This window comes from Homo sapiens, chromosome 14 (assembly GCF_000001405.40).
Source record: "Homo sapiens chromosome 14, GRCh38.p14 Primary Assembly".
NCBI classification, from domain to species: Eukaryota; Metazoa; Chordata; class Mammalia; order Primates; family Hominidae; genus Homo; species Homo sapiens.
Genome location: NC_000014.9, coordinates 81,553,932 through 81,569,462, shown reverse-complemented (window position 1 = coordinate 81,569,462; position 15,531 = coordinate 81,553,932). Strand labels below are relative to the sequence as shown.

The 15,531-nt window shown below is 40.3% G+C and overlaps 1 annotated feature.

Moving 5' to 3' along the window:
• Nucleotides 7,624-8,167: an enhancer, noted in NCBI's record as "OCT4-NANOG-H3K4me1 hESC enhancer chr14:82027640-82028183 (GRCh37/hg19 assembly coordinates)". NCBI's record gives its function as "activates a minimal SCP1, AML or CMV promoter by ChIP-STARR-seq in naive and primed H9 embryonic stem cells {active_cell/tissue: H9 hESC(naive and primed)}" and the evidence as "EXISTENCE:reporter gene assay evidence [ECO:0000049][PMID:30033119]".

Below are 15,531 nucleotides of genomic sequence, written 5' to 3'. Positions count from 1 at the left end.
ACCGTGTCTGAGACCAGTTTAAGTTTTCTGCGGACGACCCAACTGGGCCCTTACCCTTGAGATGGTAGGCAGGGCAGATTTGGTTGGAAAAGTTAATCCTGCTCTCTCTTCCATTATTTTGCTATCTGTGCTGTACAAAGGATCACCCTACCTAATGGCGATGGAGATGAAAGCGTCTCCTTCCCATTGCTCAGTGACCTTGGGCTTCGGTAGATTTCTCCAGTCCCATGTGTAGCTATAGAGCTATCCTCACTCATTCCTTTCTTCCAGTATCATTTCCATGATTCCTCAGTCAGAAGGAGAAAATAAGGTCACTTTGTTCCATCTGCTTCTCTTCAAATTTGGGGCTAGCAGTGAGAATTCTTGAATGTTATTGCCTCTCCAGTCTGGAGAATTCAGGCATTACTAGGGTTCTACTCTGTTCCAGCATCTTCTGAGTCTTTTCATAATGGCCAGGTTTTTTTTCTTTAAAGTTAATTGTACTATTTTATATTTCTTCGTTTGATTACTGCTTATGGTGTTTTTTGTGTTTCTTTTCCTATTTCCTTATTTCATTATATTTTGGGGAAGGCATGCCGTTTTAGTCATGTTAGCCTAAAGTCTCATACTTGTCTATATGCTGTTGAATTATACAACACACTTTCATGTACACCCAAGGTTTGAGCAATTTCTGACACAACAATTGTACCTCCTTCCTTTCTTTCCCACTCAAGAATGCATATATGAAAAGTAAGTGTTAGTGTCTGATGCAGTGCATACCACAGAGTGCCCGCTCAACCAGTGTTTTCTGAGTGTGACAGTAACATACAGTGAAGAACAAAACAGGACAGTCTAAGCCCTTATGGAACTTGTAGCCCATGGGAGCAGACAGATGTTAATCCAAAAAACCACACAAATTACATTAATTTAATTTCAGTTTTGTAAGATGAAGAGATTTCCGTGGATAGATGATGGTGACGGTATCACAACAATGTGAATGTACTTAATGCCACTGAACTGTACACTTAAAAATGGTTAAGATAGTACATTTTGTTATGTGTATTTCACGACAACTTTTACAAAACAAGATTAAGTATTGTAAGAGGGAGATAAATGGTGCTATGAAAGCATAGATGGGGTAGGTCTGGAGACCCTTCCTTCCCTGAGGAAGAAATGATTGAGCTGAAATTCAGAGCAACAATAGGATGGAAGTTATTATAGGGATAACCTTGAAACCACTTCAACTTATAAAAAAAGATAAATTATCCACAAATGCTGGTACTTTATTATTGGTATGGCAGGATAATATATTTGAAATATTAACCAATATTTTCCCCTATATTTGCTTTCACCTTTCTACCCTTCTCCTCTTGCCCAACCCCAAGCTGCTGGATTCGCCTGTACTTGCTTTGTAGGGAGAAAGGAGGCAGCGAGGAGAAAATCACACAACCTTTGAGATTCATTCTGGATTTTGTTTTTTCAAAAAGACAGGAAATGTAAGTGCCACAAAGAGAATTTGGCGTACAGGTTTTAGAGACAAATCACGAATACAAGAGCCAGGGTCCCTCCCGTTCCTAGATTTTAGAAGCTTGAGATAGGGAACCTAAGGGGAAGCAATGGCATGGTAGAAGTTGGGGACTGTGTGGGGAAGGGGCACCTTGGGCAAACCCCAGGGTGGTACTAAAGTCCCCAGGTGGGTGTGAGGCATCTGAGAGCAGGAAAATGTCCCCATTCTTGGGGAAGATCCCTGGGAGGCAGCAAGATGCAGAGAGGACATTGTTGCCTGCTGTTTCTGGGACCGCTGGACAGAGCCATGGGTGGCCTCAGAGAATTTGCTGAATTCCAGTGGGACAGAACAATTCCTGTGCCCCCAAAGCATCCAGGAGATAGAGTGAGCCAATGAATCTGAAACTTATCAGGGAGAGAAAGGATGTCTCCTAGGCAACCTGAATAAACTGATAACCAAGAACCAGATGAGTAACGGACATCTCAACAAATGCCCACGTGGCCCGGTGATGTCAAGGGCTTAACAGCTCCACACACTCACCGATGCCTTTACATCACCCCCTGCCCCTGCCACATGACCTGTTCCAGAACAAGAGAAATGAATTGACTAAGATGACGTCTCTGGCCTCCTAACAGATTGAGGGGACAAAATAAAATTAGAAGGACTCATTGGAGGATAAAGCAAGCTACAGGTTTTGCTCCCTGGTTTCTTGGCTGAGATTCACAGTAAAAGAGAATTACAGCCGGGCACGGTGGCTCAAGCCTGTAATCCCAGCACTCTGGGAGGCCAAGGCGGGCAGATCACTTGAGGTTAGGAGTTCGAGACCAGCCTGGCTGACATGGCAGAACCCCATCTCTACTAAAAATACAAAAATTAGCTGGGTGTGGTGGCATGTGCCACCCCAGCTACTCAGGAGGCTGAGGCAGGAGAATCGCTTAAACCGGGGAGGCGGAGGTTGCAGTGAGCTGAGATTGTGCCCCTGCACTCTAGCCTGGGTGACAGAGGGGTACTCTGTCTCAAAGAAAAGAAAAAAGAAAATTGCCTCTGACATCCTCATTATGGTTCTTAGCAATATACCTGTGTGTCGTGGCATGAATGTTTAGAAGCACTGATACAAATATTCCCCACTGGGACATCATATAGGCAGAGTCCAGTCCATCAGTCATGGGTGAGGCAGGGAGTTGCGCCTCTTCAACAAAGAGGCCTACAGATAGCTGCAAGCCAGCCCCTGGTGCAAGACCCAGCAGACCCTGCTCTATCGTCTCAGCCCATTGAGCTGCTCTCTTCTTGCTTGTTACTTTCCACTTAGGAGCTTGATAAATCTCACAGATTTCTTAATGACAGTGACCACATCTTAACTTTGGTCTCTTTTTTTTAACCCCTTGCTGAAACTATGGTACATCGTGGGTTCTCTGTAAATATCTGTTGAATCAAAGACTCCAGCTTTGTATCCTCTAGCTACTATAACGGCTTGTACAGAGTAAATTGAATTTAAACGAACTTCAAATTACTGCTGGGAGGCCTGAGTTTAACAGCTTGGCCAGCTCTGCATGAAATTCTGGATATACCCAAAGACAACCTAATGCTTTCAGATAACTTGGCCTAATTTTTAACACTCAAAATTTCAGATCCTGCTGAGTCCTAATTTGAAAAATATTTTCAACATCTGGAATGTAGAATACTTAATTAATCGTTCCATAGATACCCAGTTGAATAGAAGCCTAGAGGTTAAAACCTGACACTTTAAAAATATTAGACTAAGCTGTTCAGACCTCTAAATGTTGTGCTAAACTCAGAAAATGAGGCTAATGCTGTGTTCAATGCTGAGAGCCATCTGCATACGACAGACAAGTTTCAAATAGTGTGGTCATGCCACCCTCTCGTGGTGAAATGCTATAGCAGCTGCAACATTTCAACAGAAAAACTTCTGGAAGTAGACTACTACCACTAATGATAAATTAGACCATATTCTATGATTCTGTAAACTTCTCAGACATTACTAATTTCGTGTAATCCTCATAACAACCCTACTTTCAAAGATGATGCTATTATCCCCATGTTACAGATATGAAAACTGAAGCTCAGAGAAGTTAGCACAGCAAGTTCACACTAGAGCTAGTTAAGTAAGAGAGCTGGTGTGTCTGATGCCAAAGCCCATATGCTTTTCACTATATTGTATAAATAATTTGTTGATAGCTATATCTGCAGTGCCTTGCGCATGGTGGATACTGGATACTCACTAAATATTTACTGAATGGATGAATGACAATACCAGCATTTATGGTTTTACAGCAGCAGTTAAAAATGCAGCAAGTCTATATCAGTACCTATCATGTGTTGGGTGCCTGCCATGTACATGTATAATTTCATTATGCTTAACCAGGGAGAAGTTTAGACTTGTTCTTCTACCCAGCAATCCCATTACTGGGTATATAACCAAAGGAATATAAATCATTCTGTTATGAAGACACATGCAAGCATATGTTCATTGCAGCACCATTCGCAATAGCAAAGACGTGGAATCAACCTAAATTCCCACCAGTGATAGACTGGATAAAGAAAATACGGTAGATATACACCATGGAATACTACAGAGCCATGAAAAAATAACAAGATCACTTCCTTTGCAGGGACATGGATGGAGCTAGAGGCCCTTATCCTTAGCAAACTAACACAGGAACAGAAAACCAAATACCATTTGTTCTCACTTATAAGTGGGAGCTAATGATGAGAACACATAGACACATAGAGGCAAATGACACATACTGGGGTCTTGTGGCGGGTAGAGGGTGGGAGGAAGGAGGGGATCAAGAAAAACAACTAATGGATAATAGGCTTAATACCTAGGTGATGAAATAATCTGCACAATAAACCCCCATGTCACAAGTTTCCCTGTGTAACAAATCTGCACTTGTACCCCTGAACTTAAAAGTTAAAAACAAAACAACAAAAAAAAACACTTGTTCTGCTATATTCTTTTTTTTTTTTTTTTTTTTGAGACAGAGTCTCATTCTGTTGCCCAGGCCAGAGTGCAGTGGTGCAATCTCTGCTCACTGCAAGCCCCGCCTCCCAGGTTCACGCCATTCTCCTGCCTCAGCCTCCCAAGTAGCTGGGACTACAGGCGCCCGCCACCACGCCTGGCTAATTTTTTTGTATTTTTAGCAGAGACAGGGTTTCATCGTGTTAGCCAGGATGGTCTCGATCTCCTGACCTCGTGATCCGCCCTCCTCGGCTTCCCAAAGTGCTGGGATTACAGGTGTAAGCCACCACGCCTGGCCTTGTTCTGCTGTATTCTTTAGCTCATTCTTTATTTTTAATTTATATACAAACATGTGTGTATATATATATATCTGTTTTTATATATACATATATGTATGTATATTACACACACACACACACACACACACACACACACACACATATAAATTTTGGTAGCGACAGGGTTCTCACTGTGTGGCCCAGGCTGGTCTCAAACTCCTGGCCTCAAGCAATTTCCAACCCTCAGACTCCAAAGCACTGGGATTACAGGCATGAGCCACTGCACCCAGCCTTATTTTTTAAAAGAATTTAAGTACACTCTCTATTTACAGATACGTGCACTCATCATCCAATAAGAATGCATGAAAGACCTACTGTGTGCTGAACACTATTTAAGCTGTGGTGAGGCTTGAATAGTTTGAATGATGTGTCTAAAGCCTCATACCCACTGTACTGGTTTTTCCTTTGCTTCTCTAAGAGCTGGAACTGAACCACAAATCTGTAAGAATTTGCTGTATGGTGTTTTGGGGCATGGATCTTAATTATTAACATCCTAGATTATCTAAATTACTTAATAGTGGCATAAAATAGCTTTTTTTAAATGTCTGTGTTGTTTTTTAATTGTACTCATCAAAGCAGCTTTGGCAGGATTGTCCGTTATTTGTAAATCTGAACCTCAGGCAGTTTTGTAACTGTCAAGGGGCCCCACTTTGGACATCATGAGCCCACAGCAAGACCTAGGATTAAAGCATAAAGACCCCAAAGTCACCACCTGGTTCCCAGCTTAATGAGCTACTCCACAGGCAAGTATTTAGGAAGCATGAGCGAGGAATGGGAAATTTGAGGAAAGAGCAGTTTGGGTATCTTTCCAATAGGTATTCTATTCAAGTCAAAAATAAAAATACTTGAATATACATTATTAAACCAAAGTTCGGAGAATGAGAAATTCAGGTCATTAAATTCCTATTTGTAGAAAACAACAAGGAAACAGAATAATCACTAAGAATGCTGTCATCTCCAAAATATTCTAATTGAAATTAGAGGAAATTTGCCTCTCTGTTTCCTTTTCTCTGAAATCAGACAATCAATGTTAAACAGACCTCGCCATGTTCTGAAATCTCAGTCTTTGTGACTGCAAATTCATTCATTCAGTCAACAAAGATCTGTTGAATCGTGCCGTGTGCCCTACCTTAAGATAGCTTTGGGGTTGGATTTTACACGGAAGGAAAGCTGACATCTTGCTTTATATTCTTCCTGGGTAGTCTGAAGTTGCTGGCTGTTCGCAGCCCTTTGATGAGTTCCTGGAAGTCTCTTTCTCTCTTATCTGAGGGGGGTCACAGGAGGCAAGAGAGCTTTCCTGAGGCTGAAAATCCTCCAAAGTATAGTAGAGAGGGAACGAGGAGGTCTCTGGGGGTGAGTTAAACCATAAAGAGGACATTCCTGCCTGAAAAGAGGCGTGAGAAGGGGACTGGCAGGAAGATCAATCTCGCGGACCCAGCTGATCAATTGCAGAACATTTCAAATCTGACGTTCAGATCTCTAAAGGTGAATCCTCACTTTCCCCCAGTGTCACTGAGCTGTGTGTAAATTCTCTTCCTGAATCACTAAGGAAAGAAAATAGCACAAAACCCTCTGTGTTCTCCAAGACAACGGGCCACATCAGGAAGCCAGGACCCCAGCATGTGGGTGGTGGTGGCTGGAAGCACATTCCAGCAGGGCTCATCACTCCTCCAAAGTCTTCCCTGTGGGTGGCAGGGGAATGGGAGAGTCCCACAAGGTCTATGCATGAGGACAAACTTGTTGAAGGACTTGAGGGCAGCCTCAGGAGCCCCTACTGCCCAGATGTCACACATACCAGAAGATACTGATTCTTTTGGTCCTCAATATTCCAGTCTAATCAGAGGATGCCTTTGAGTTACGATTTTGGGAATACAGGGAATCCTGGTTGACTGCTAGTGGGGTGTTAGAATCTTTAACAAAGCATTGGCCCTTGATGGGTCTGTTACCCTTTCTGAAAGGAGAAGGTGAGATTAGATGATCTCAAAGGATGGATCCAAGGCTAAATTTTCACTTTGAAGAGTGAAAGTAAACAGCCAGCCTTGTTACCCCTTAGTCTTCAAAAATCAAATTCTTCAGAAGGTGCAGATTTGCAAGGACATTTCCACCTTCCAGCCTACTTTGCCCCCATAAAATTGCACAGGACATATAAGATTTGCTTGGCTGGCTGGGCACGGTGGCTCACACCTGTAATCCTAGCACTTTGGGAGGCCGAGGTGGGTAGATCACCTGAGGTCAGGAATTCGAGACCAGCCTGGCCAACACAGCAAAAGCCTGCCTCTACTAAAAATACAAAAATTAGCTGGGTATGGTGGTGGGCGACTGTAATCCCAGCTACTCAGGAGATCGTCCCTTGAACCTGGGAGACAGAGGTTGCAGTGAGTCAAGATCATGCCATTACATTGCAGCCTGGGTGACAAGAGCGAAACTCCGTCTCAAAAAAAAAAAAAAAAATTACTCGGCTGCTATCTACATATTTAAGGTCTCTCTGTTCCTATTGCTGGATTTATTAGATCTCCTACTATAATTGTAGTAAGATAAAAATCTAAAGTAAAGCTAGGTAAATAAATAAGACATGGCTGGGATACCAGTGCGGACAGAATGGTTTACTTGGCTGAGCCCCATAGTATCTGCCTTATTTGGGTCATTTAGTTTGTGGGTAGAAACGTCCCCTTTTAAAGAAAACGCTGCTAACCATTCACTCAAAACTCTACATAGTGTTAGATCTGAACCAATGTTTCTCAAAGTTCAAACAGGTGAAATGGTCTTCTGCAAGGCAGCCTCACCTTCAGGTGTACCTGGTAAGTTTCTGTGTACATTCCTCTTAGCGATGGCTTTTTACTCAGCTCACGTTTGAAGGCAACAAGTTCTTAGTCTGTTCCACTAGCAGCAACCCATCAGGCGTGCTGCAGGATATCCAGACTTCTGAATCAATTTATTTAGAAGACAGAGCATTTTTATTTTATTTTATTTTATTTATTTTATTTTATTTTTTGACTCTTATCTGTAAGCCCTATCACATCTTCCTACACCTCCTATCTGTAGCTTCCCCTGCACGACCACTGCAGGCAGGCTCACCTCTGGCTCATGGCCTCCTGGGAGGGACTAATCCTCCCCAATCCACAATCTCATTCTAAGCATTAATCTGGTTTTGTTTACTTACTTTTGATGAATATATGTTTCTACTCTGTCTGAACGTTCTTTCTGAGCTACTTCCATTTATTTATTCACTCGTTTCTTATCTCTCTCCCAGTATGAGGCCCCTGGCAACTTCACACGACCTAACTGAACTCTCTCAAGCCATCCTTTCAAAAGGAATGAAAATTGAGGTCTCTTGTTTTATGCTGAAGACTCTACGATGCCTGCAGAGTCAGGAACTCTGGAATCTTAGGTGTCCTCCTTACATATCCATCTCCATCACCCTTGGCTGAACATGCTGAGAAAGAATGACCCGGCATGCATGCAGAGAAGAGTCACTACTTTCTGTGTTCAAACATGTTCGGGCCCTGTGTACACACTCTATGCATCACCCAGCACGGTCCTGTTTTTGTGTAGCGTGGCTTCATTCTTTTGCAATTCTACTCCCAGCGAGCCATATGATAATTTTTTTTAATTAAAAGAAATTTTAAATAGTTTTTTTTTTAATCTCTGGAAATGTTTAAGATATCTCCTAAAAGAACTCGGGAATGGGTGATTGTGTTTTGTGTATCCAGCAAGGTTATAATTAAATTTGCAAAAACTCCATCCCCCTTTGAATGAGTTATAAAAACCAGCAGCAAGTGAAGTTATCAGTAATTAGGCTGATACTTTTATGTGTCTGATGTCTGTCTTATTTTCTTTTTTCTTTTCTTTTTTTTTTTTTTTTGAGACAGTCTTGCTCTGTCGCCCAGGCTGGAATGCAGGGGTGTGATCTCGGCTCATTGCAACCTCTGCCTCCTGGGTTCAAGTGATTCTCATGCCTCAGCCTCCCCAGTAGCTGGGATTACAGGCATGCACCACCATGCCTGGCTAATTTTTGTATTTTTAGTAGACACAGGGTTTCATCACGTTGCCCAGGCTGGTCTGGAACTCCTGGCCTCAAACAATCTGCCCGCCTCAGCCTCCCAAACTGTCTTATTTCTTAATGGATTCTGAACTCAAAGAAGGAAGAAAAAGGTAGGCTTCATTATCTTCCTCACATTCCAACAAGAAAAACAAACACTAAACATATGATACATAAATTTAAAATTAACTACAAGTTGGGATAAGCGCCATGAAGTACAACAGGGAGACCACACTTGTTGATAGTATGCACAAGCTCTTTTTCATTTTTGGATACACTTTTTTGGGCTACATGTGGATGTTGAGCTGTAAAAAACAACTGATCTGGCAAAAGAATACGCTTATCCTTCACTTGAGAAAACTTTACACAGTGTTTTGGGGGTTAGGGTTTTCTGCTAGTTTTTTTGGTATCTGGTTTGGTTTGTTGGGTGTTGGCTATTAATTTATAAGAGTTTCAGCCCATGTTTGTATTTAACAAGTCTTTTTTTAACACAAAAAAGAAATAACTTTTATAACCCTCAATATCTTCTTTGATCCACACTGCTGTGATGCAAGGTGTCAGTACTGATTGCCCTGACCTCAGCAAAAGGGGATCCACCCTAGACTCTATATTTTAGGGGACATGCACTTCTGCAAGTGCCACAAATGCACTCTGGCTCGGTGTGACCTGCAACCTAAACCTAACTCATAACCAACACCAGCCAGGGTTGGGAAAGGATTCTACATTTCTTTCCAAAGACCTTGAAACAGAAGGCAATTGTGTCTAGAAGTCTTGAAAGGCTTTGTATTGCTGATATGGTTTGGATCTGTGTCTCTACCCAAATCTCATGTTGAAATGTAATTCCCAGTGCTGGAGGTGGGGCCTGGTGGGAGGTTACCGGATCCTGGCAGCGGTTTCTCATGTTTAGCACCATCCCCCTAGTGCTGTTCTCATGATAGAGTTCTCTCGGGATCCAGCTGCTTAAAAGTGTGTAGCACTTCCCCTCACTCTCTTCCTCCTCCAGCCATGTAAGATGTGCATGCTTCCTCTTGGCCTTCTGCCATGATTGTAAGTTTCCTGAGGCCCCCCAGAAGCTGAGGAGAGGCCAGCATCATGCTTCCTGTACAGACTGTGGAACTGTAAGCCAATTAAATCTCTTTCCTCTATAAATTACCCAGCCTCACATATTTATAGCAGTGTGAGAATGGACTAATAGAATTGCTCTGATGCCAATGTCAGAGGTAGACACTGCTTCAGTAAGAGACAACACAAATTGATTTATTTCTCTTAGAGAACAGAAATGTAATGGATTTTCTCAAAATATACTATCATTTCCCAGTAGTGCCAAACATCCATTTTTTTATTCACTTAATACTCCAAGTTACAGTTCTAGAGATTCTCACAACTTCCATGATGTTCACAGCAGTTGCATAATGGCAATAAAATATTTTGCAATATTAAACAATTCATATTACTCTTAATAGAAATAGGTCTAGACACAACAAGTATAAAGCTTGACATTGACTCTTTACATTGGTAACTGGAGAGACAATGAATCTTGGAATTGTAAATCACTGTAGTTTTATAAAAATATTTAATGTGATTTAATTAAATTTTCAAAAAATTAAGTAGAAATATTTTAACTTCATTTTAATCTTTTTTATTTAAAATGTTTTTATTAATTAAAAGGTATACCCTCCTTTAATTTTAGCATATAATTTTTGATATTTCCAAAGAAATATAATTTTCTAAAATATATATATTTTATTACAATTTTTTATTTTCAAATTTACTTCCACTTACATTTTAAATAAAAGTGTGTCTAAATTACATACACTTTGAGTTTTATTGTTTAATGCTTTGGATCATTGAGATCATGTTAGAAATAAAATATACAAAAGTGGAACTCAGAAAGAAAATGAGCTAACCAGAAAATAAGTAGAAGTTCCTCAAAGAGGCAGATTGCATACGTATTTTAAAACTGGAAACAAGGGAAATGAGCAAATGTCTGGCAAGTATGCCCCACAGAAAAGTCCTGACCAAGATATTACGTATTCTCTATTTAATGAAGACTTAATTGCGATTAAAAAATTAAAATTAGCAAATTATTCTTATCAATTCACAGTCTGCACAGGTCATATGAAATGCCTACAACCTCATATTCTTCACCAAATGAAGATGTAATTACATGTCACAAAATGTTATTTGCACATAGAAAAAGTACAATGCAATTTCTGAAACAAAAGGATGAATAAAGAATAATTGATCATATTCAATAAAGATAAGGAAATGCCACCTCAGAACCTTACTCTGATGTTCTGAAAAGGATGACACTACGTACCCAAAATTTGCTATGCATAATGATGCTTTCTGTGTCAGTAAAAGCACAATATCTAGGTTTAGTAGAAATTGTTTCACATTTTGATGCTAAAATGAACAAAAATATAATGAAGCAAATGATCACTCTCAAGGTTAGAAAATTCAAAATGAAGCTCTTAATTTAATGAGTAATAAGGTGAGGAAAAAAACATATGTAATTTTTAAAAAGATACTATTGGCTGGGCACAATGGCGCATGCCTGTAATAACAGAACTTTGGGAGGCTGAGGCAGGTGATCTCTTGAGCCCAGGAGTTTGAGACCAGCCTGGGCAATATGGTGAAACCTTCTCTCTACAAAAAATACCAAAATTAGCCAGGTGTGGTGGTGCATGCCTGTGGTCCCAGCTACTCAGGAGGCTGAGATGGGAGAATCATCTGAGCCAGGGAGGTCCAGGCTGCAGTGAGCTGTGATCACAACACTGCGCTCCAGCCTGGCGGACAAAGGGAGTCCCTGTCTAAATAAATAAATAAATAAATAAATAAAATTAAAGATACTATTATTCAGTTCAACTAGGTTGTAACAGGGTCAAAATGTTGATGAAGTAATATTCACTATATGTGTTGTTGAACTACCAGAAAAGGAAACAAGTCAAAACGCAACAGTATTCCACTGGTTGACATCAGTTGTGAAAATAGGTTTAGACTTTACTGAAAAGCTGAGAAAATAATTTTCAATTTTAGGCATTGATTTAAGAGATTGATGAGGGCAAACTTCATGGCTTACCTAATCTCACTAACATGGTCGGCAAAGAATAAGGTGATTAAGCCAGAATGTTTACCAAAAATCCAGAAGCATTTCTTTGTGCTACATATGCACAGAGTTGGAATTTATTACTGGGAGAAATGAGCTCATCTGCACCCATGGCAACACTATTCTTTGGAACAATTCAGAGATAAAATTCAGTATCTCCTGGGTCAGCCCAAAAATGAACTAGCATGATGAAACACATATGAAATTGGACCCTACACCATCATTTGACACATAATGGGAATTTGGACCACATGTTAGAACAATTAGGATCCACTAGGAGAGTGTGGCAAAATAACATTCCCAAATGAGTGAATAATCACCAAAAATGAAATTAATTTTGAGTTTGTGCCATCCACATTTATTTAGTATAATCTATTGCTTAATTTTAACTTTTAAAAACTAACAAAACAAAACAGATCTAGTTTGATACTTTGTTAAAGGCATTAAACTATATATACACATATATAGTTTACTTTTAGAAATTGTTTTCTTAATTGAAAAAATTGGCATAAAATATGCAACAAAGGTTATGCTTAGATAAAGTATAAAGAGTTGTTTAAAAGAAGGCCAAGCATGGTTGCTCATACCTGTAATTCCAGTGCTTTGGGATACCAAGCCATAAGAACTCTTGAGAACAAGAGTTTGAGACCAGACTGGGCAATACGGTAAGACCTTGTCTCCACAAAAAAAAAAAAAAAAAAAGGTGGAGGGGGGTGTTGGGGAGAGAACTTTTGTTTTAAAGCTGATAGAATATATTCATTTTCAAAGTCCTTTAAAAAATTCCTTACATACATTAGTGAGTGGTAAGCATAGCATGTGGTTCAAGGTGAACTCCATCCAGCAGACAATCTAAGATCAAAGGCTCAGTCATTGGCTTACACAATTTAAGGCAGCTACGCATTTTACTTTTCCTCCTTCAGTGGGGAGAGAACTTTTAAAAAGGGAATTATAAAGTTTTTATGACAATGAAAAAAGATTCATGTATAAATAATTCTGAAATTTCAGAAAGGCAAATCACAAATCGAAGTATATTATTAATTGAAGAGAGATTTTAACAAATTGAGTATCAAACTGCTATTTTCAAGTTATCTTCATAATACCATAGTGTTGAATAATTTAAAAGAAGAAAATACTTATTGCAACAGGACTATTCAAAAAAACAAAAAAAGAAAAAATATTGAATGGATCTAGACATTAAGAGACAATTACAGTTGTGATATAAAAATAGTAATTTAGATGAGTTAAAATATGTAGTAGTATTTTCTATGATAAAAATAGTTTATCACACAAAATCCCATGACAATGTTTGAACATGTTAGTAATATTTGTGGTTCATTTTTTAATTTAAGTAATGTCTGAAGAACTTTATTGGCAGTTTTAATCATTACAGCCTCGGCAGAGAGGTTTCCCAGGTTGGAATTTTAAAACCATATAATAATTTCAATGACTCAAGAAAGATTATGTAATTTGGCATTACCATCAAGAGAACAGAAATTTTGTGGAAATCTTGATTAAACAGCATAATTGGAGATACTGCTGACGTTAGGCAAGAAAAATAAAAATTTTAGAATAAATGTACAATTTGCAAATTACATATGTCTTTAATTTATGACTCACCCAAACATGCCCAACACATCAAGGGAACACCCAGGCATGTGCAACAATAATTACAGTCAGTTGTCTTTGATATTTGCCGATTTTCAGTAATATAAGACTATATAACTTTGTACATTTTTTTGTGAAGGTGTATTGTTTTGGCAGGTAGATAGGACATAATTTAACAGTTTGTTTGCTTAATTTATAACTTTCAATTTGTAAGAGCCATGGTATATAGGCCTCCATTTGTACTCATGCCCTGGGCCCTGCCAGGTGTGTGCCAGGTGTGTCTCTTGGTGGAGGACACAATGCTCAGCATCACTAATGAAAGCTTCTTTTTTGTTCCTTTTTTGCTATTTTGTATTTAGCTTGATGCAAGTGTGTAGTCTCTTTGCAAAGCAATAGGCTTCGAAGAATATTTGTACATGTTAATGGGTCCAAACATTATTTTTTCATGTGACTGTTACCACAATTAATAAATCAATTATGGAATGACTGTAAAACACAACAACAGCTGGAGACACAGACTCCACACTGAGATTCAAACGTGATAGAACAGGCTTCCATAAAGTGACTTCCTTCTAGATTTCAGAAAGGTGGAAAAAAGGTACTTGACAGTGGAGAAGCCTGCCAGACACTACCTCAGCCAGGTGCTCAAGGTCAACATCCACAGTGACAAGCCGTGTTGGCAGTATGTTTCCTTGATACGATGTGGTAGGAATGGCACTTCACCTCTGTGGTGTTCCACACAAAAACTATAACTCCAGTCTAATCATGAGAAAAACAGCAGACAAATCCCAATTGAGGGGCCAGGTGCAGTGGCTCATGCCTGTAATCCCAGCACTGTGGGAGGCCGAGGCAGGTGGATCACCTGAGGTCAGGAGTTCAAGACCAGCCTGGCCAACATAGTGAAACCCTGTCTCTACTAAAAATACAAAAATTAGCCAGGCGTGGTGGCAGGCACCTGTAGTCCCAGCTACTTGGGAGGCTGACGCAGGAGGATCACTTGAACCCAGGAGGTGCAGGTTGCAGTGAGCCAAGATCGCACCACTGCACTCCAACCTGGGCAACAGAGAGAAACTCCATCTCAAAAAAAAAAAAAAATCCCAATTGAGGGGACATTCTGCAAAATGCCCTGCCAGTACCTCTCAGGACTGTCAATGTCATAAAAAACAAGGACCATCTGAGAAACCGTCACAGCCAAGAGTTGCCTAAGGAGACATGATGAAAGGTAATGTGGTATCCCCGATGGGGTTCTGTAACAGAAAAGGCACTTTAGGTAAAAACAAGGGGAAGTGAGGATTTTAGTTAATCATAATGGATCCATTTGGTTCATTCATTGTAACAAATGCACCACACTAATATAAGATGCTAGCAATAAGAGGAAGCTGAATGTGGAATATACAGAAACCCCACACTGCTTTGCACCTTTTCTGTAAACCTAAAACAATTCTAACATTTTAAAAGGTATTTTGGTTTTGGTTTTTTCCCCCCCCTTTTTTTTTTAGACAGAGTCTCGCTCTATTGCCCAGGCTGGAGTCCAGTGGCGTGATCTCAGCTCACTGCAACCTCTGCCTCCTGGGTTCAAGCGATTCTCCTGCCTCAGCCTCCAGAGTAGCCGAGATTACAGTCATGCACCACCATGCCCAGCTAATTTTTGTATTTTTAGTAGAGAAGGGGGTATCACCATGTTGGCCAGGCTGGTCTCAAACCCCTGACCTAAAGTGATCGGCCTGCCTCAGCCTCCCAAAGTACTGGGATTACAGGCGTGAGCCACCGTGCCCGGCCTTGTTTTGTTTTTTCAACATAATGAAACATGACAGAAGGGCAAAATGGCCTCAGATGAGGCCTCCTAGCCGGAGAGGAGAACAGGGTTCCCTAAGACTCACCAGAGAGGGTAGAGGCTGGTCTTGGGGGACAGAACAATCATTGCAAACTCAGCCAGTCCTAAGAGAGGCCTGGTTTGGGCACAGCAGGGTAATG